Source organism: Homo sapiens, chromosome 19, assembly GCF_000001405.40.
Source record: "Homo sapiens chromosome 19, GRCh38.p14 Primary Assembly".
NCBI lineage: Eukaryota > Metazoa > Chordata > Mammalia > Primates > Hominidae > Homo > Homo sapiens.
The window spans coordinates 28,836,126-28,859,490 of NC_000019.10; positions in this window are offsets into that span (position 1 = coordinate 28,836,126).

Below are 23,365 nucleotides of genomic sequence, written 5' to 3' on the forward strand. Positions count from 1 at the left end.
TGCACAGACATTTTTCAGAATTTCCGTAATCAGTCCTTGCTTTAAAATCTAATTCTAAAAAATCCAGAACCCAGACACTAAGAATTGGTTTTAGCATCACAAGACCTGCCCTCAAAATCTAGCTGTAATACCCACCAGCTGTGTGACCTTGGAGACCATCTCCCCGCCCCTCTTACCTATAAAGTGAAGATAATCACATCTGCTTCTTGGCTGATCGTGGTGCTTACACAGGTTAACTGGTGTCAAGTACCTGGCACCTTTCCTCAGTCCCTGAGTGCACAGTTCCTGAGCATCCTGGGCCCCTCTTCCATGTGAAGGCTGTGCCCATGGACCTCAGATAAACTCCCTGTGTGTCTCAGTCAATAGAGGATATTAGCAAATGCTTAGCCAAGTGTTCTGGCTGCGTTTACTCCCACATCCACCAACATAAAAAGTAAACAGCAGAATAAATTGCCCATCTGCTGCCATCAATCACAAATACAATCTTCGCCCACTGTAACACAAGGCAAATACAGTAATGACAAAATCCATAGCTGGGGAAATGATAGAGTGGTGGCCAGGATTTTCCTCTCTCCACAGCCCCAGTCCATGTTCTATTATTTAAATGCACAGGGAGCAACCACGGCGATCAATATGTTGCCTGCCTTCGCTGTCACAAGGCAGGCTGGTTGCTCGGGCCTCGAACTTAGGGCCTCTGGATGGCATGCTTCAGGCAGCTCAGTTCTAGGTCAGTGGACCCTGAGAGGAAGAAAAGCAAAGCCCCCAGTCCTCAGAGATGGAAGAAGTCACCAGAAGGAACAAGACAAGAATATGTCACAATGGTTCAGTACCTGCACATCTATAGAGTAAGTTTAAAATAAACGTTTCTGGTTTCAAAAGAGATAAGAATGTTCACAAATATGGAAAAACCCAAGGAAGAAAATCTTAAAAATGTATGATTTTACCTCTCCCCAAATAGTCACTGTTAAAATATTGCTCTATATCCTTTTAGACATTTTCTCATCCTGGTAGGCATATGCACACATATATACAAAGTTGAGGTAATGATAGGTGTCCAACTGTGCTCTTCCTACTCTCTCTGTTTGGTTCACTGCAGCCTCTGCCTCTGGGTTCAAGCGATTCTCCTGCCTCAGCCTCCTGAGTAGGTGGGATTACAGGTGTGCACCACCATGCCTGGCTAATTTTTGTATTTTTAGTAGATACGGGGTTTCACAGTGTTGATCAGGCTGGTCTCGAGCTCCTGACCTCGTGATCCGCCCGCCTTGGCCTCCCAAAGTGCTGGAATTACAGGCATGAGCCACCATGCCTGGCCGGTTCTATCTTTTAAAAAAGCCTGCTAGTTTAATAGATAAAAATAATACTTCATTATTCTACCTTGTGTTAAGTAATTTTACTAACAATATAATCTTAGTTTGTTTGCTATTGGCTCTGTTTGACAGATGAAAAAAATTAAGTTCAGAGAGAATAAGTTGTCAGCCAGCATCACAGAATTTCTGGCAAGACGGCGCCTGTGAGGGTGAAGTGTGCGCTTCCCGGCTCTAAAATCCCTGTTATGTCAGAATAATTGTTAATAAAATTCTTTATGAAATTGCCACATCATGGCATTTACACATCACACATTTGAGTTTAATGAAAGAGATTTGAGCAATGAGTTTGACAAAAGGGGAATGTAAATCTGGCCACAAGAATATGTCTCTTTTGTTCTTAGTGAAACCCTTGGTTGTTCAAGGAGGGGCAGGCCGTGTACATGTGTGCACATGTGGATGTGCACACATGCATATATGTGACTGTGTGTTTTAGGGGGTGCTGGTGTGAGCTCAGAGCACAAGAAGGGGTCCTGCCTTTTCCCACTGCTCACTGGTGTTTTTTTGCATAATTATAAAACAGAGCCTGCCATGTCACATAGGGACCGCTGCTGGAGCAACCAATATCCCTGGGATTGATGGCATTCATTCTACAGACATTTCTTAAACAGATGTGCTTGTCATTGAATGAAACTATGAACACAATAGGAATAGTCTCTTCCCTCACTGGGCTTCTGTCTAGTTGAACAAAGCAGAAAGACCAGCCACTGATAGATCACGACTCATGTACAACCTTGGGTAATCAGTAAAAGATCACTGATGTGGACAGATATTTACATGGACCAAACGCAAGTAAGCCAAACAACTATCTTAAAGTGGGTGTCTGGGCCTCATTAGCATGCTGAAACTAATCAAATGAGTGAGAAAATAATATATCTCCTGGGTTGAATTCAGCAAGGTCTTCTAGGGTCAATTACAAGTACAATTAGCAAATAAACTCATAGATTATTTCCTGTTTACACTTCAAACAAACCTGACTTTGCTGATTTACACGGCAGGTTGCACCTTGATTATAAATTATTAAGTGGTCAATAATGAATGGCATTACTGTTTTAATTTCCCCAAGTATGTTTGAATATCACAGCAAAGAGATGAGATCAGTCAACACATTTGCATATCGTCCAGAAAGACATAAAGCAGAATTAACCGTACTTTGGAAATAGATGGCTGAAGAGAAAGCTCACCCCTGAGTTTACATTGCAATCCTGATAAATCTCTCCCCAGTAACGCTGGCAATGAACTCTGAGAGGAAGGAGAGATCGGGTTTGTTAAATTGCATTGAGTCTCCAGCTCTCAGATATGGATGAGTAACAAAAGTTCCATGTATGATTCTTATCATGTGTGGGTCATTACAGCCATCCATTCACAGATGTAAGAGCTGTGCTGGGAATCTGGTGTATGACACTGAAATCCCTCCAGTCAGTTCTCATGGAGAGCTGGTTTCTTATTGAAGATCAGCAGATCCCGAAGACACTGTGGAGCCTCCTGGAGATTCAGACTCAAGGCTTCTGCCCACTCACATGTCCTCCTGCTCTCCCTTCAGCCCCCTCATTCCTTGGAAGCTCACTCCCCTCCTCCCACATCCCGTCTGTCCCTCCATGCTGCCCCAGAGCACTCTCTGAACAGGTGCACCCTGCTGGAGTCTGAGCACTGACCCAGCAAGGCAAGGGCTCCTCGGAGAGACACAAACGGACTGAGTGAGGCTGGCAGGAAGCCCTTTCACCCCCCAATTATTCTGGTGCTTGCTGTTTCTATCAAAGTAGCTACACTGAGGAAAGAGACTTGCCCTGTGTGTGCACTCCGGGGGACAGGCAGGCCACTGTCACATGCCCCCATGCTTGCCCTGGGCTTGTTGTGTGCAGCAAGCACTCAGTTTATTTCTGTTGAATGAGTGAATGATTGAATGAGAGCCTCCACTGCAGCTCTGGGCTCTCAGGAAACTGCGGTGGCCTCTGTCCTCCAGACACCCCTCATTCAGTGTTGGTTGTCATAGCCATTCCAGCCACTCTTGAAAAACATAATTTTGACCCTCATTTTATCTTCATGGGGTGCATGTGCAGGTTTGTTACATGGGTATATGTGTGATGCTGGGGCTTGGGACACAAATGATCCTGTGACCCATGTAGTGAGCATGGTATCTAACAGGTGGTTTTCCATCCCTTGTCCCCACCCTTTCTTTCTCTAGCAGTCCCTGGTGTCTGGTTCCCATCTTTGTGTCCACGGGTACCTGATGCTTAGCCCCCACTGATACACAGCTACTTTCATAAGCACCTCAACTTGGAAGCAACGGGATGCTGGGCTCCCAGTGGAGGGCATGACTTAAGTTTACAGAAGAGATTCACTTGTTGAAGGGACCTGCCGTCTTCTAAATTTGAAGTCCAATTTGAAAAACTGAAGTGCTCTTAGACATGTGCAGCCTTCCAGTAATTTCCCGCTGAGTTCCACTGCACTTCCCAGAGTCAGGCTCCTCCTCTCATCAGGCCTAAGCATTTAAGCACCAAGTGAGGAAGGAATTCAAACAGCTTCGGGACATGTAGGGAGGATGACGAGAAAAGGAGGAGTGTGAAATGCCTCCCAAATATGTAACAACTTGCCAGGTTTTTCCAGAAAATAAGCAATTCCCTCTGTCCCCCAGCTTCTAGGTGCAAAAAGAAAACAGCTGGATTTCCAAAATACAAAAGGCTCCTGCCTCCCAGTTCCCAGATTTGGGCAGCAGAGGGATCATATGTCCCCAGCTTTCTCCAAGATAGAGGCTTAGTTTGGGGATGTTTCATGTAAATGGGGACTAGCGCACCCGAGACGCCAAGGAACAGGATGGGAAATGTACGAGTGGCAAAGAACCCTGGTTCTGTGATTTACTGGACATGTGACTTGGGAAAATTGCTTCCTCTCTCTAAGCAATTTTTTTTTTAGTTCATAAGCTGTAGATATGAATACTGATCTCTTGTTGCTATAAATTATCTCACATATTAAAGCACTTGGCACATGGAAGTCTCCCAAAGATTTCACAGTCACTCTGGCTCAGGGTTTACTCCTGGAGGAAGGACTTTCTTCCCTTCATTTGCTCTCAAGTCCACTTGACTCCCTTGGTCCCACTGGCCTCCCTCTTGCACCTCTGCCCCTGTGCAGGCCATGAGCTTCACGAGGGTGAGGAAGAAGGCGCAGGTGTGTCTGTTCACAGCCTTGCCCTGCATGGCCCAATCCTGGCACATGATGGACGCTCACTGAATACGTATTGGGCGACTGACTCAACAAATCCTAGAGGCCATCGCAGGGCACAGGCGTCCTCTCTTTTTTTCTGCAGAACTATTCCACACTTTATGCTGTTCCTTGGGCTTCCTTAAGCTTCTGGTGATGAGATGAAAGCTTATTATATTTCAATCTATTCTCTTTCTACCTTTAAATATTGGCATTTTACTGTAAGAAAAGCAGACTTTATTTTCAATTCATATAAAATTCATTTTTTAAAATAAAAAACCCTAAGAATTTAAAGAAAGAGTAATCAGCCACCAGGACTTCTTTGTTTTTGTGACATGTGCCTCCCAGGCCCATGCCACGCATTCTTCAACTCTCTCATCTCTAACACAACTGAAATTCCGCTCCCCATGTGGCTGCTCTTGCAGTAAAATGACAATTGACTGCCAACTTTCCTGAGTCTTCAGCTTTTCTCTTACATTCAACAAGATAAAGAAGCATTGGACCAGGGGCCCAGAGTCTCTGAGCTGCTTTCTCCTCACCTGTATGTCTCCTAAGCCCTCATAGGAGCAGCTTCAGTCATGGAGGGCACCATGCTCAGGTTGTCCACAGCTCCCAGGTCATCAGCAACCGTCTGTGACTCTGTGCAAAGCTGAAGGGTGACGATCCTTCCAAGACAGTCACCAGAACACTGTGTGTGTGGGGAGAAGGTGGACAGAGGAAGGAAGAGCCCTCCTGGCATTCAAGGCTTCTGACCACAACCTCTCCCTCTGTCCAGAGGGGGCGGGGTCTCCAAGCCACAGGGACTGCATGCTCAGATAGGCAGTTTTGATGATGCTGCCTCCCCTACTCCACAGCTCCTCATCCTTCCTTCCCTCCAGGCCTTTCACACTGGGGAAGAGGGTGTTTTGCTTGATGCCTTTTGAAGCCTGACCTCAAAGCCAAGCCTCAATCCCCTTCTTCAAAAAGCCTTTCCTGGCCTTCCTGAGGCCTCCCCCACACCCCTCACCACAGTGAGTTTCACTGTCTGTCAGTGAGGTTGCACGCCTATGACACTTCTGTTTTCACAGTTTCCCTGCACAGAGCAGTGGGTAAGTCACAGAATCAGTGTCCCATCACTTACCGGCTATGGAACCTTAGCCATAAAAAAGGTCTTCATGAACTTCAGTTTCCACATCGGCCAAAAGGATGATAACACCTAACACATGGGGTTCTTGTGAGGGTTGAATTAGAATAATTCCTGTGGGCAGATGGCCTCTGAAAGCGTGCAATGAGATTTACAAGGATGTCAATGGCAGTATTGCTTTAGTTTTTTTTTTTGTTTGTTTTTTTGTTTTGTTTTTTTGAGATGGAATCTTGCTCTGTCATCCAGGCTGGAGTGCAGTAGTGCGATCTTGGCTCACTGCAACCTCCGCCTCCTGGGTTCAAGCAATTCTCCTGCCTCAGCATGCTGAGTAGCTGGAATTACAGGCACCCGCCACCATGCCTAATTTTTTTTTTTTTTTTTGAGACGGAGTCTCGTTCTGTCACCAGGCTGGAGTGCAGTGGCGTGATCTCAGGTCACTGCAACCTCTGCCTCCCGAGTTTAAGCCATTCTTCTGCCTCAGCCTCCCTAGTACCTGGGACTACTGGTGTGCGCCACCACACCCAGCTAATTTTTGTATTTTTAGTAGAGACAGCGTTTCACCATGTTGGCCAGGATGGTCTCGATCTCCTGACCTCGTGATCCTCCCGCCTCAGCCTCCCAAAGTGTTGGGATTACAGGTATAAGCCACTGTGCCCGGCCAACTTTTGTATTTTTAATAGAGACAGGGTTTCACCATCATGTTGGCCAGGCTAGTCTCGAGCTCTTGACCTTGTGATCCACCCACCTCGGCCTCCCAAAAGTGCTGAGATTACAGGCGTGAGCCACCGTGCCAGCCAGTATTGTTTTTAAGAGCCAAAAATTCAGGAAAACTTTTTAAATGCCACCAAAACAGAATTGATTAAATAGATTTTGATTACATCCCGAAGTGAAATATTATGCAGCTATTAAAAAGAATAATCTTCCTTCTCAGTCTTCCTCATGGTCCAAATTGAACTGCATTTCATAATAGGAAACAGATTGAGAAGATAATCGTAGTCTTCAAGATAGACAAACAGTAGGGTTTTCTAAATGTCAAACTCACTGTGAGAAATCCTAAGCTCCTATATACTATATATGAGTGAAGCATTTTGCTCAGTCATCAACTGACAATTTTTCTTCTAAGAAAGAGGCTGGGTTGGGGGGCTCAGTGGCTCACACCTGTAATCCCAGCAGTCTGGGAGGCTGAGGCAGGCAGATCACCTGAGGTCAGGAGTTCGAGACCAGCCTGGCCAACATGATGAAATCCCATCTCTACTAAAAAATACAAAAATTAGCCAGGCATGGTGGCACGCACCTGTAATCGCAGCTACTCAGGAGGCTGAGGCAGAAGAATCACTTGAACCCAAGAGGCGGAGGCTGCAGTGAGCCGAGATTGCACCACTACACTCCAGCCTGGGTGACAGAGTGAAACTCCATCTCAAAAAAAAAAAAAAAAAAAAAAAAAAAGAGGCCAGCGCACTGTCCATTGGATCCATAGTTCTCAGACTTTGTACTGGATGCTTGAGAATTGCTGGGATCCCCTGGGAAGCTGAGAGAATCCCACCATAAGGCTCCTCAACTTACTTACACTCTGACCTCATCTGCAAAATTCCTTCTGAAGCCTGTTCTTTTACCTTGAACCTTGGAATTGTTCCATAATTTTCACCCTCTGTATTTCCCCCAAATGCATTCAGAGGCTTCTCCTCACACAAGTGTCTGCCATTTATTGGTGGAGCATTTGCTGTGCTCTAACAGGGACTTAAGATAGGAATAATAATGAAAGTATAGGACCAGAGCCTGCTGCGTTGTGCAGAGCCATTCAATGCCAGCCTGCCGCAGAGAGGCATCATTGTGTCTGATTGGGGGAAATGATTATTTTTTGCCTTGTCTTCCACTATCACCTATGAAAGCCTCCTAGAGTGTCTTTGTCTTCCCCACACACATACCTCACACATCTGACTCACTGCTCTTACTATGTTTCGGGCTTTGGGAACTCAGTCCATTCAAATTCCATATAAACACTGATGAACCAGGGCCCAAGTGAGGGTGGACTGTGAGTGAGAAGCCTCTGATCCGGGCCTCTGGCTCTACAGGAGCTCATGGAGCTGAAGTGGCAATGCCTCCAGCTCTGCTGCTGGACAGACCTGAATGCAAATCTGAACCCTCTGCCACCCTGTTTGCTCATTTACAGAATGGTGTGGTATCACCCATCTCTTTGGCTGCTTGTGAGAATTAAGAGAAATGAGGCGTGTAAAGTCCCTGGAGCATGGGAAGTCCTCCCAAGAAAGCATTTCTTGAGCTGCTGGAAAAACATCTCCTAAGTCTGAAAGAACTTCGAGCAGTCAGGTGGTAAATTTTGTCAGTAAATTATTACAGAATAAAAGCATATGCGTGTACATTGCTATAAAGCATATCAGAGATTTCAATTATTAAAGCTTTTAAACTTCTGAAAACTGCTGCAACATTGCAAAGAAGATAACCACAGGATTGGAAACTGAACTTAAAGAACATCATAGTCAACATGAAAGAACACTATTTGCATATGATGTTTCATATAAAGTATCTCCTAACAAGGGAGCTAATTCTAAAATTATCTTTTATAATTTATCAATGTAAACATATGGTGATAGAATACATAAACAGACATTTAAAATTATGTACAAAGCAGGAAGTCCTTTCTTTTTTTGTACGATCTTCACCAATTTCAGGGAATTTCAGAGGACACATTAAAATGACATTGTATGAACTTGCCTTTAAAATTAAATTCAGAATTATGCAAAACCGATTGATGTGAAGACATAAAACCTCTTAGAAAATTTGTTCCACAAAAATTATCATCTTTAGTTTTACTAAAAACTTTTCAGAAATGTATCCCAATACTGTCACTCACAATTTTTAACGACTCCAATAAGAACTAAATCAGCCAAAAAAAATCGGTTTCTAAAATTAAAATTATCAAAAATTATTTGTGACCTTACATTTGCCAAGTGACTGACATTGCTTTCAAATATGTCAATTGGAAATTAAGTTGCTAAAAGTAAAATTTCTGATGACCTGATAAATGAATTTGCAAAAATATAAGCCCGAGAAATTTATCATCAATTAAGGTATTATACTGATAAATTGTTATTTGTTGTATTGTATGAATTATGACACAAAAATATTTTCTTAATTTTAAATTTATATTGTTGAATATCATGATTACCTTAATGTATTACAAATAACATTATTTTTAAAGGATAAATCTTTATATTTTAGTGCCTTTAACTACAATTTTTCTGCTTTTATATTGTGACAAAATACACATAGCATACAATGTTTCATTAGTGATATTTTGTACGTTTTTTCCTGCTTTTTGTATAAGGGACCCGAAAATAATGTAGCTAGTTTAGCATATCTTCACCCATTGCCCACCCCCTTCCCCTCTTCAACCTCTAATACAAAGGGCCAAGGATTAAAATTTCATTGCTCTTGAATTTCAACCAGGAAGTGGAAAGTGAAATTTCTAGGTAACAAGGACTTACGCAAGATGTAGGTCCAGTAAGTATCGGAATCAGATGCCAGCCCCAGAGCCATGCTTGTCTAGAGGAGCACACGTCTTGTTCACAGTGGGGATGAGATCGTCTGTCTGAGATTGAGGCTGAGTTAGCAGCATCTGTAGACTCCTGTGAGCAAGGCTGCCAAGTTTGGCCCTGGTGAACCCCTTGGCCTCTCCTTCACAAAGCCTCCTGCTACCATCTGCACATCCCCAACCCCTCCTTCACCTAGAACAGTCCTGTCCCCAGGCGTTCCCTTCTGCTGTTAGTGAGGCTGAAGCTAACATTCTGAGCCTCTGAGGGGGATGATGACAGCAGCTACGTCTTTGGGTGATGAGTGTTATGGCTGCAGAGGACCTTGCGAGGGCGGGGCTGAGTGGTTTGGAAGCCTATTTCCTAAGGCACCTTACACACTAGGGGGATTCCATGGTCAGAGTAATTAAGGAAGGGTGGATAACACGGTGCTTCCGAAGGATTTGTTCACAGAGCAGCACATTAAATGTCCTGAGAAATTCCAGTAAGACACCCAGGCCTTCCCAATCTTATCTGGCTGCAAGGCCTTAGAACTCCTAACAGTTCCTGGGACTAGGGCTCCGCAGAACACCCTTTAAAATATATGTTTTTTGTTCACTGCTCTAATTTTAAGGATGGGGAGCCAAGATTCAGATTCAAGGGAACACACTTAAGATCATAAAGTGAGATCCAAGAAGATAATGCACATTTTTATTCCCCAATTTTAGGTTGGTCTTTTAAGAGATTCAAAGGAAGGAGCCTCTAATGGTGACAATGTAAGGCTGATAATTCTGGAGTCTCTATTGTGCGTGTGTATGGGCTGTGTGTGTATGTGTGTGCATGTGTGTGTATATGTTTTGTGCGTGTATGTGTGTGTCTCTGTTGTGTGTGCATGTATGGGTGTGTGGGTGTGTGTTGGTGTGCATGTGTATATTGGTATGTATGTGTATGTGTTGTGTGTATGTGTATCTATCTGAATGGGTGTGTGTGTCTGTGTGTTGTGTGTAATGTGCATATGTGCATGGGTGTATGTGTGTGTATATGTATGTGTGTGTTGTGTGTTGTGTGTATGTGTGTATGGGTGTGTATGTGTGTATGTGTTTACGGATGTGTGTATATATGTGTGATGTGTGTGGATATGTGTGTGGATGTGTGTGGTGAGTATGAGTGTGTACAGGTGTATGGGTGTGTATATGTATGTATGTGTTGATGGATATGTGGGTGTCTATATTTGTGTAAGTATGTGTTTATGTTTGTGTGGGTGTATGTGTGTGCATGTGAGTGTGTTGTTTATGTGTGTATATGGGCATATGGATGTGTACATGGATGTACGTATTGTCTATAAATGTGTTTGTGGGTGTGTGTGTATATATATGTGTGCATGTATTTGTGTGTGTTGGGTGTATGGGTGTGTGTATGTGTATTATGTGTTTATGAATGTGTGTGTATGTGCATGTATGGGTGTGTGTGTGTGTGTATTTGGATGAGACTTTATCTGTATCTCTGCGGTGGTATGGGAGCTGGAACCCTTCCTACTGAGCTGCCCTCTCTGTTCCGGATTTACAGCAGGACTAAACAGCAGGAGAAACCAATGAAAATACAGTCCACTAATGCATCCAGTCTGGACGGGGCAGTGAATGGAGGTCAGGAACTTCTGTGGTGCCAGTCCCAGCTCTCAGGCTTTTTCAGCAGCTCTGAGGAGGTCTCAGGCATAGGTTCCAAAATCAGAAGCCTTCAGGAATGAGCCATTCTGGATAGTCATGTTTTACTGGTCAGTGAGAATTTGTTTCCTTTAAAATCAAAATTCTTCAAAATATATTAATCATTTTGGAAGAAAAATTTTTCATATTTTATAGTTTGCATTCTTTCTTGCACAGTAAGGAAATACACTCGGACATATTTTGGAGGTAGTTTTGAATTTTTGTTTTTGCTCTCTCGTGCCTGATGCACAGACCCTCAGACACTATCAGAGCCTGCCTTTTGGGACATAAAGGTCATTTTGCCCCTATACTAAGCAGACTGAAGTTTCTACATTTTACACCACTGTAACTGCTTTATATGTTTTCCTGGTTTCCCTGTGGCGCAAGTCTGCAGTCTCATTTTCGCTTCTTCCTCTGCTTCCCACATCACCATATTTAATTTCCTGCCAGACCTGCATGTGCGAGCTGCCTGATCTGGGAAAGTCATTTGATCTCTCAGAAACTCCTTTCCTCATGGTAAATGGTAGTAGCATTGCTTGCCCAACAGTGCTGCCATGTTGAGTAAGACACCGTGAGTGCCTTAGCCTCCCGCCCTCTTCTTCCAGGCTTTGCTGGAGCCCTGCTGAGGGAGCCTCATGGGCTGGATGCTCTCGCTCTCTCTCTCCTTCTCTCTCTCTCCTATGAGTCACTCTTGTACTGTTGTGTGATGCTTCCTTCTAGCAAATCACTGTATTGCTGAATAACACCCTCTATAGAGCTGCAAGAAACTCTTGCTTTATGATTTTTTTTTATTTTTATTTTTTGAGACAGAGTTTTGCTCTTGTTGCCCAGGCTGGAAGTGCAATGGCGCCATCTCCGCTCACTGCAAACTCCGCCTCCCGAGTTCAAGCATTTCTCCTGCCTCAGCCTCCCGAGTAGCTGGGATTACAGGCACCCACCACCATGCCCAGCTAATTTTTGTATTTTTAGTAGAGATGGGGTTTCACCGCGTTGGCCAGGTTGGTCTTGAACTCCTGACCTCAGCTCATTTGCCAGCCTCGGCCTCCCAAAGTGCTGGTATTACAGGTGTGAGCCACTGTGCCCGGCCTGTTTTATCAGTTTTTAAGGTCTTGCTTGATTTTAACCAGTTAGAGAATAAGGTATTTTCAATTAGAGAATAAGAGAAAAATTCTGCTGTTGCTGTTGTTGCTGTTTTTCCTATCTGGGCTCTTGGTATTGGGCTGCAGGGGAGAGAACGTTCTTGGTGTCTGTTTGGCTAAAATTCTATTGAGTGAGATGGCAGTCATGAGGCTAATGGTGATGATTCCACTCCTCCCTCCTTCAGAGCCCACGGGAAGACAGCACTTCCCCATCCCTCTTTGAAGTGTGTTGCTGCATGTGACATGCTTTGGCCAGTGAAATGCAAGTGGAAGTGATGTTTGTTATTTCCACACCCAGGTTGTAATTGCCCATGTGGTCTTCCCTGACTGTGCTAATCATGGAGAGATGGGTGGAAGTGGTGCCTGGGCTGCCCAAATCCCTGAATGGCCACAGGAATAGAGTTCCCCGAAAGCTTGTGTTTAGACACAGAGCATTAGCAAGAAATAGTCTTCTTTTATAATAAGCCACTAACTTTCAGGGATATTTGTTACTCCGGCATAACCCTGTATGCCCTGACTGATACAGCAAGTAAGTAAATAACATAGTTCTCTCCCAAGAGTCTTTATTAGCAGCCTGTGAAGTGCTTTTTTCCTCTGACTTCTCATTTCCTCTTCAAGGCCAGGACACCTAGCAACTAGTCTCAATAACCCATTCATTTTCTTTGTGGATAGCTCTGGAGGAGAAATCTACAGCCCTGCCCAGCTGTGCTCTCTGTTTCTGACCCTGCAGCCCTGGTTTAGACTCAGTCGAACATTTACCCATTATGTTCTAGACCTGTGTGATGGTGCATCTCCCCTCCCCCTCCATCACATTTTGGAGCACATGGAAGCTTTTCCAAGACTATTTCAGCTTGCCAGTTTCCTGTCAGATTTTTCATTGTATATTTTTCTAATTAAGTTAATTGAATCGAAAAGTCTCTTCATATAAATAACAGACCTCTCCTTTCTCTCACTGCTTGATGACTTTCAACTACAAAGTCATTTTTTTCCTCTCTTTTATTTGACTTCAGGCACCCTTTGCTAAACACTTATAATTGTCCTAATATAAAAGCAATGCAACTGATTTCCACACTATGAAAACATTTGGAGACTGCTGTGTGTGTGTATTCATATATTTGTAATTTTTTAAGCTCTAGCAAGAGCCTCATCTTTTTTCCCCTAAAATCCCTTTAACATTCTTAGCCTAGCTGAGTGAAGATAGCCACAATCCTGGCTCAGTATAGTCACTTGTAATTACCTTCAGGTGCAAAAGAGTTCTTAATGCTTCAAATTCTCTTTCCACTGTATCAAAGTAAATAGATGTAATTTATTATTGAAAGCGCTGCTGCTATGCCGATGTAGTGGGTGGGAGTTGACATTTGGGATATTGTGTAATGTATAATGAGTCTGAAATGAGTGGTTCTGATCCAGTCAGCATCACAGGCAATTTCCCTGGTAAGGAAAAATGCCTGCAAATTAAGTTGCATATCTTCACTAAGGCAGGGAATGGCATAAACTGTGGAAATATTGATTCTGATTCTGCTTTTCTTAGAAATTGCTCTGGATGTGTATTCAGAAACATGTTTTCTCTGAGACAGAACCCTATATTTTCAGCCAGAATGATGTTTGAAAGGCATCTTTGGTAAGGACTGTTTCTCAGATGCTATGAAAATGAAATCAATGGGGCTAATTTCTCCTTGTCGCTTTCTATGAATGCTGCATGAGGGATTGCAGACCAGCCACAAAATCAGGCTGAGGACCACTGTTCCCCGCCTGTCCTTTTCCTCTGCAGCCCAGGCTGTGCAGAGTGGCTTTGCCCAAAGGGAGATCCAAAGGTGGGGCTTGCTCAGAAATGACAGGCTGGGAAGTTATTTTGTGGCTAAGAGGAGGGGAGAAAATAGCTGGGAAAGAGAAATGACATGCATGGGCTGCCAGGAGAAGATGGAAGAGAGAGCCACCACCTGTAAAACAGCAACATTATGGAACTGGAAGGCACCAACCACAAGATGAAGAAGTGCGTAAATTTACCTGGAAATCACACTGAAACGAGGCCAGTTTTTTACACCACTTCAGGAACTAGCAGGTGCTCTGTCTCTCCAGCCTCACTGTCTCATTCTCCTTCTTACCCTTGCTGCCTCAATTGATTGCAGAAATTACATTCCAGACCATGAGTAAAGGACTCAATGTTGCTGCCCGACGAGTCTTTTCTGCTTTCTGACAACACTGTTGGTTTGCACAGATTCACTTAAAAGTGTTAAAAATGTCAGACATCTGTTAAAAATGTCAGCAGTGGTTTTGCTCCACTCTTCCCACATACCAGACAGGAAAACAGAGACACCAGGTGCCCTGCAAACTTCCCTTAGGGGGATGCCTGTTCTTCACACCATGGATTCAATCTTTGGAACAAAATCACCAGCTTTGTAAGGCCTCAAGGTACATCAATTAATTACCCCCAGGAAGAGCCATACACAGTCAGCTATCAAAGGGGGATGAGACCTCAACATACTGTGGGCTGTCGTCTGTCACCCCCAGCACTGAATTCAGTTCTTACCCTCGCTCACCTGTCCTGGGCTCAGAGGTACATCACTGTAGACCACAGCACCTGGGATTTCTTCCCTCTGCTTTTCTGTTTGATTTTAACAATGAGGTGCATTGTCAGGAGATGCAAGGGCAGAAAGAGAAAGAAGTTAAGGCATGTCTTTTCCCTACTCCATTCCTGCTTTATAACCATGTTTCTGGCAGTGGTTAATCCTTCCATGACCACAGATCCTAGATGGAGCCTGATGGTTCTAGCTCTCATTAGGCCCCAGTAATGCCATTCCTCCCCTCCTGTCTTTATTCCTAGGGGATGGAGAGCTTGTTGCTAGTATTTGGATGTCTCAGCATCTCTTTTTAGTTTTCATTATCCCTACCTGTAACTCTATACACTGTCCCTATATTGTAGTCTCTTCATTGAACCATCTGGGGTGCCTTCCATTTCTCAATGGTAACATGCAGTCTAAGTTCAATAGAGCTAAGGAGCCCTGAGGCTGAAGTAGCCAGGGAAGTCTTTCCAAGAGAGATGGAGCTTGAACTGTGGCTTGGAGGAATTGTACCTATCTGGACTCTGAGTTTGTGTTTTACCATTTGCAACTGAACCACTTGGCTTAAGCAGAGGAATATTTGGTTTATGTAACTAAAAATTTAGGGGCTTCAGGCATGTCTGAATCCAGGACCTCAAATGAAATAAATCTCCTTCTATTTCTTAGCTCTCTTTTTATTATCATTATTATTGTGTCATTCCCTGGCAAGTTCTCTCTGACACAAAATTGACTCTAGGAAGCTCCAGGCATAATTCATCCCATTAGCACAGAGTCTCTGAAGGAAAGAGCAATGCTATCTCTTCTAACACGCAAGGCAACTTCTTTTACAGAACCCCATTGGTCTTATTCAGGTCATACCCCTCTTTTCTCCTCCCCCTGCCCAGAAAAACCAGTCTCCAGAGAACTGGGGCATTCTCATTGGCTGATGTTTTCACACCTGTGGCTAGGAAGTGAGGGCCTTTGGGTTGAGTATGTCCTCATGCTGGAAAAGAACAACTTCCTGAAGGAAGGAACGTGAAAGACAAAAAGAGTCATCAGGCTAGGTGCAGTGGCTCATGCCTGTGATACCGACACTTTGGGAGGCGGGTGGATCACTTAAGCCCAGGAGTTTGAGACCAGCCTGGCCATGGCCAACATGCTGAAACCCCATCTCTACTAAAAATACAAAAATTAGCCAGGTGGCATATACCTGTGGTCCCACCTACTCAGGAGGTGGAGGCGTGAGAATCGCTTGAACCCAGGAGGTGGAGGTCGCAGTGAGCCAAGATCATGCTGCTGCACTTCAGCCTGGGTGGCAGAATGAGACTCTGTCTCAAAAAAAAAAAAAGAGTCATTGAGATCCACTACAGATCTCAACATTTCACCCACCTGGTCTCAAAGCCAGCCAAGGCCCAGTGGGATAATGGTTAAAAAGCCTCTTCCCTGAAAATGAGCTGATTCTGAACCCAAACATGGGCCTCTAAGTTGAATGGTAGGGTTTGTATGAGTTGTCATGACCTGGAAAGGCACTTTGCTGCATGAATCGCCTCTGTCCCTGGGACTATCTCTAAAACTTCTAGTCCATAGACCTGCTTGACACAGAGGCCCGCAATTCAACTCTGAAGGTCAAGGAATTGAAAGTAATGGCAGAAGATCAAGCATCTCTTCCACCCCCATCTTTTAGGATCACCCAGAGAAAAGTGTTGCTAATAGCAGCCTCTTTGTTTCTCAAAGACCAACAAAGCTTGTGTTAGCATATGGCCTGTACTTATGGCCAAATGCATCTCCCAAGCTTCTGCATCTTATCTTTATTTTAATAATTTTTATTTTTAACTGATCATGCAGTGACTTCCAGGGAAGTAGACTACGACTTCCTGGAACATTTGCATTTTTGTACATTTAAATTATTGTTAGCTTTGAAAGCAGGGCAACTGCCTTAGGACCACAAAGCACTCTACTCACCCTACTGAAACAGATAGTGGCAGTTTCTGACGAATTCCACCTAAAAATTTTAAGATAGAAAATGTGTGTGTGTTGTATTGTGGGGCGATGGGGAAATGGGGCACAGTGGCATGGATTTGAGAGGCTCAAGACTCTATTTCTAAGATGCCACAGCTTCAAAGGGCACTTTTCTAGGTAATCTTAGGAGACAGCAGGCCTTAGAACTCTATGTGTGTAACTACTAGTTCAACATCTTGTTTCATGAGTTTGTGTCCAACTTTGATTTTTTCTTAGTCAATTCACCATCATTATTGCACTCAACGAGATCATAATTCCACTTTGATCTATTCATGGTGTCTGTGTTTACCTTAAGGACTGAATTTTTAGTGGATTCTTAACTTAGCTGCTGTATTTAAAGACTCATCTTGGCTGAATTACATCATAATTCTGAGGCTTCTTTGTTTTTCCAGAACTATGAACATTTATTGCCATCATGGGATGCCTTCACCAATAGGCCTTGAAATTCAGAAAAAGTTAAAGAAAGATCAGAGACTTGGTGCCATGTAAAACTTGAAATTCATGACCTTCAGGCCTGGTGCAGTAATTCCAGCACTTTGGGGGAATAAGGCAGGAAGATTGCTTGGTGTCAGGAGTTTGAGACCAGCCTCAGCAACACAGTGAGACCCCATCTATACAAAAAATAAAAATAATTAGTCATAGTGGTGTGCACCTGTAGTCCCAGCTACTTGGGAGTCTGAAGTGAGAGGATTACCTGAACCAAGGAGTTCAAAGCTTCAGTGAGCCAGGATCACACCACTGTACTCCAGCCTGGGTGACAGAGAAACAACCTGTCAAAAAAAAAAAAATCATGATCTTCAGAATTCCCAAAGATGATTGGGGACTTGCTAAGAGAGATATGATCTCAATTTGCTATGCATCAGAGACTTGCCAAGGGATTGCTGCACACTGGCTCTAGGCCAGCCCCACACCAAGCCCTTGAGAGGGAAAACAAGATACTCTTAGTCTATATTGGACACCAAGAGCTACCAGGAGCTCTCATTTTCCTTAATCTTCCCTGAGCTCTTTGAGGCAGGGCCTATTGTTACTTCTGGTTTACAAGAAGAAAACTGGGGCTTGGAGAGGTGAAGGAAATTGCCTGAGGCTAATGAGCTGATAAGTGGGAATGTCAGAATTTGAATCCAGGCTTTGTGACTCAGCATCTTGAGAGCCCACTACTGTATTTGACTCTTCTTACAATCTAGTGTCTAAAGCAATTTGTGAACAAGGCCATATCTTCCTAGTTGATGGAATGCTGACCATAGGTGTAAAAAGCTTTGATTAACCAGAGCACTTGTCAAATGGGCTTTCCTAGTTAATGAAGACCTTTTGTTAAGAAAAGTGAGGGGGAGAAGGAGGAGAGCAGATAGTGGTGATAAGCATAATAGCTTTTATGGTTTTAATGTCTCCCCCAAAATTTATGCTGAAATTTAATTGTCATTGTGACAGTATTGGGGTGAATTCTTTAGGAGGTGATTAGGTCATGAGAGCAGAGCCCTCCAGAATTGATGAATGCTGTTATCTTGGGAGTGGGTTAGTTATTAGGAGGATGGGCTCCTGGTAAAAGAAGAAAGCTCAGCCCTCTTCCCTTTCTCACTCCTACCCTTGCTTGCCTTTCTGCTTTCCTTCAAGTTGTGATGCAGCACAAAGGCCCTCACCAGGTGCTGGTGCCATGTTCTTGGACTTTCCAGCCTCTAGAACCATGAGCCAAAAAATGTCTTAAAAAAATAAATTACCCACTCTGTGGTATTCTGTTATATTAAGGCAAAATGGACTAAAACAATAGTCAACCTCCATAAGGACCTACTAGGCTAAATGATGGCCCTGCAGAGACGTCCACGTCCTCTGATCCCCAGAACCTGTGATTGTGTTACCTTACCCAGGCAATGAAAACTTTGCTGATTTAAGTTAAGGATCTCAAGATGGAAAAGCTTCTCTGAATTACTTAAGTGGGGAAGATATAATCACAATGGCCCTCATAGGAGGGAGGCAGGAGGATCAGAGTCCATGAAGGAGATGAGATGATGCTGTGTCACTTGCTGGCTTTGAAGATGGGGGAAGGGGTCGTGGGCCAAGGAATGTGGGCAGCCCCCAGAAGACAACCAGAGGTAGGGAAACAGATCTTCCCTAGAGCCTCCAGAACAAGCCAGCCTTGCAGACACCTCGATGTTTGACTAATGACATGGATTTTGGACCTCTGACCTCCATAACTGTAAGATAATACCTGTGTGTTGTTTTAAAGTTTGAGATAATTTGTTACTGCAGCAATAGAAACCAATACAATGTGCTGTATATCAGTGCTTCTAAACCATAATGTGCAAAGAAATCACCCAAGGTATTGTTAAAATGCAAGTTCCTGTACAGCAAGTCTAGGTGGAACCTCGGAGTCATCATTTCCAACAAGTTTCCAGGGTTGCTGAAGATGCTGCTGTGTAAGTCATGCTTTCAGAAGCAGGGCTTTGCACAATAATATCTCCCTTAATTGTCATAACGACTATGAAGTAGCTTTTAATTTCCATTTTACGGTTGAGGAATTGAGACTGAGAGTTTAAATAAATGGTCTAAGGCCAGAAAGATAGTACATGGCAAAGCATGGCATTGAATCCAGTTTAATCAGAGTTCAAAACCTGTGTTCTTGCCACCAACATCCAAAGAACATGAAAAATGTAAATCAGGGAAAACAAAACAGCAACATCATCATTTTCACGTGGACACTGGCAAACTTTCTCTTCTCTAGGGTAAAAGTGGAGAAGGTTTGGGATGTGAATAGCAGTATTTGTTGGTAGCAGAAGGCCATGATATGATTCACACGTTTTCCTGCTCTCAGAGAAATGATCACTCCATTCACACATGAAAAGAGCCTGAGGCTCAGCACTTTTAACTTACCTCCAACAAAGGCAATGCTTAGTTTTTAATTGTGTGACTTCAAAGCCAACCATTGTGTTTGAGGGATTAAATTAGTTATAGAGAACACTGAAGGTTTTTTTTTTTTTTCCACTCTGCAATGTTTTGCAATGAGACCTTTTGGAATTCTTCTTCGGATTATTAAGAAACAATAGTACGTACATGGGAACTCTTCAGCTAAAAAGCCTTCCTTCCTTTCTTTCTTTCTTTCTTCCTTTCTTTCTTCTTTCTTTCTTTCCTTCCTTCCTTCCTTCCTTCCTTCCTTCCTTCCTTCCTTGCTTTCTTTCTTTCTCTCTGTCTCTCTCTCTCTTTCTTTCTTTCTCTCTCTCTCTTTCTTTTTGCTACCATCTCAGGGGAGCTTTGCTCACTGTAGTTTTCACTACAGTCACATCAAAAGTTCCTTGAAAGTACAGCTGCATTCTCATATTCACATCATCTATACCTGGGTTTTCCATACATACAATTAAACATGAGCCATCATTTGGGTTTAGAACATGCAGTAACTGTTTCTCCATGTCTTTGCAGTCTTCTTTTGGAAACACCAGGTTGTGAATCTCTGCATTTGACAGCAGAAGTTCACAGTTTAAACCTTGGATTTGTCACTTTTTCACTGAGTAGCCATGGCCATGAGGTTTCACTTCTCTGAGCCTCAGTATCCCCAGAGGTCATACACAGAGGAGCTAAGGACCGGGGAGATGTAAAAGTGCTTTGAAAGCTCTAAAGCAATAAAGAAGTTTGAGTTAAAACTCCCTCTAGCGTTTTGTCTGCAGTAAAGTGGCATCAAATGTGTTTATAAAGGTTGACCTTTTCGGGCCGGGCGCAGTGACTCACGCCTGTAATCCCAGCACTTTGGGAGGCCAAGGCGGGCAGATCACAAGGTCAGCAGATCGAGACCATCCTGGCTAATATGGTGAAACCCCGTCTCTACTTAAAAAAATACAAAAGATTAGCTGGGCATGGTGGCGGGTGCATGTAGTCCCAGCTACTTGGGAGGCTGAGGCAGGAGAATTGCTTGAACCTGGGAGGCGGAGGTTGCAGTGAGCCGATATTGCATCACTGCACTCCAGCCTGGGTGACAGAGTGAGACTCCATCTCAGAAAAAAAAAAAAAAAAAAAAAAAGGGTTGACCTTTTCCTGCTTGAGTTAGTGAAGCCCCATGAACATTCCTGGTTCTTTCTCTAACACCAGCATTTCTTACTAGGTTCTCAGAGCTCCTGATATATTAGTTTTTCACAGTCCTGAATTGAAGGAGAAGTTGAGGGCAGCATTCCAGAGGCAAAGTTAGGTCACCCAGATTTGCATCCTTGCACTGATGTTTTCTAACCATGTGATCATTAAGAAAGTAACATGTGCTTTGAGCCTGGGTGCTGCCGTCCACCTTATAAAGATAATATCAGTGCCAATCTTACCAGGCTATTTACATATAGTACTTAACACCATGGCTGGCAAAGATGACAGTCAGCAAGTGGTAGTTACCAATGGTGGATCACAACAACGCTGACTTGATTAATTGAGGTCTAGCTTTGTTTCTGCATCTCTGTTCGATAGTTTCCTCATCTGGTCCACACTCAGCTTCCCTAGGAAAATTTAAGGTCTAGCATCTTCTAAAATTCTCTAGCACCTCATTTGCATAAACCAAGTTTAAGAATTATTTGGGCAATGGGGGAAGACACAAAACGCTTCCTTATATTTCTACCTTAGTAGAACTGATGATGACAAACAGGAAAACAACCTTACTTATTTATTAATGCAGAACAAATAATCAAAACATTGAAAACCAACCTTACAGGAAGTTTACAAATGTAGAAAAGAAATAAAGAGTACTCTGGAAACATAGGAGGTGATGTCCTTGTTCCTTTGTCTGAAACAAAAATGTGCTGCCTGTCTGCAATTCCCTATTAGCAAACCATGTGGAGAGAGATGACCAGGTGAGTTCTGACTATTGACTTCCTCCCATTCCATTGAAAAGAAAAACATTTAGGTTTTTTTGTTGATATTCACGATTGGACTTTTTATGCACTTGAAACCTCCCCAAGGGGGTTAAAACCCCACCAACATTCCATGTCTAAAGCAAACATTTGTTCTTCTATGAAGGGCTCTCAGAGGCATGTTTATTGTCGAGGTCAATATCTCCTGCCCTGACTTTCCCTTGCCAAAACACGTTTCCAAAGCATCAGATCTGACACTTCGTTGTAGCATTTGCAGTGTGACAGTCCTGCTGCTTTCACCCATGGACAGCTAGCTTGCTAGTTTTATTTTGCACTTTGTCTTTTTTTTTCCAATCAATAAAGTTATATGAGTAGTGTTTAAGATGCTACAGTAGATACTGAGGCTGCCAGATAGTACATGCTAATTAATTTTTAATTATGGCTTTAATTTTATATGATGCCATTTAATTTTATTAGATGTATTAAAGTGAAGCTGTCAGATCACAGGATCTACTGCTTGGGCCAGGGTGAGAAATGTCCCAGGGGCTGCATGCAGGTGTGTGACATCATTAAGAATGTCGTAAGTGGGTGTCTGCTGCAATGTGCATATTATGCACATAAATGTCACATATGCCTGAGTGGATGAAGCGGCTTCCTCTCAGGCAACCTGTGAAGTTCTGGAACCACTTTGCTCAGTGCAGTTCAAAGACTGCCTGGGACACTGAGCTGCAAGCTGCAAGTTAGATCCTGTGTTGCCACCGACTGGCCTTGTGGCCTTGGTTAACCATGGTATTTTGCTTTCCTGAGCCTCAGATTCTCCATCAGTAAACTGATCACCTTATGCTTTTGCTTTTTGAAAAAAATAAAAAGCAATACACTAGCTATGATTGTTGGCATTAACCTCCCTGCCCCTAGAAATTGAAAGGAAAGAGGGAGGGAGGGAAAGAGGGAGAGAGGGAAGGAGGGAGGAAGGAAAGGAAGGGGAATGAGCTCTAAGGGCCGGTGTCGGTGGTTTGCTCCATCTCTTGGGATTCCCTCCCCTCGGCTTCCGTTTGCTTTATCTTCCAGCAGCCCAAATGCTGCCTTCAGGTTAGGGCCACTTTACCTTCAAGAGCAGAGGCTGGAAGTGTGTTTGTGCCACATCCACAAATTCCCAGGTGTAATTTATATAGCAGAGTCCTCCTCAGCATCAGGCTGCAGCTGTAACTTCTGAAGCACCATCTTTGCTGGGCTCCTCTTCTTTGAGTCCACTCCCCGACTTCCTATGGGGTCCCCCACAGCATATTTTCTTAGTAAATTCCCTGCATACAAATCCTTGACTCAATAAATGTGGAAAAGTGTGCCTAAGACAGGGAAAAAGAACTGGGAAGACAGATCAGGTCACAGGCCAAGAGAAACATTTTTTATCCAACCACAGCAGGAAAAGCAGAGACATTTTACACCAAGACTTCTTCATTAATTGACATGTTTGTGTGTGTGAGTGTGTAGATGTGCATGTGTGTGCTGAATGCTGAACACTGTTCTCTTATTGTAGCAGGCTTTAAAGCTCCCAACAAAGGAATCAAGAGGGATGGAATGGCATTGAGATAACATCCGACTGTCTGATGAAATGGTGCTGTCAGAGGGAATCTGTATTCCTGTGCAAGAACTGCTTGCCTGGATTTCCAGGACTGGCCACAAAAATGCTGCATGGAGTCAACCATTAATCAAACAGAAAGGACTCACCTGCATAGAAAATAGAATATGGAGCTTCCTATAGTGAAACATAAATCAATTGGTCAGAGCAATGGCATAAAATTGTATTGAATGTGCTTCAAAATGGCAGAGAAACGTGCAAGGTTACATACTATCTTAATTTCTACCTTGCTTCATTTCCATGAGGCAGAAGCAACACACTCTTCAGACGCATGGAATTTGGAAAGACTACTTTCAAGAGATCTTTGA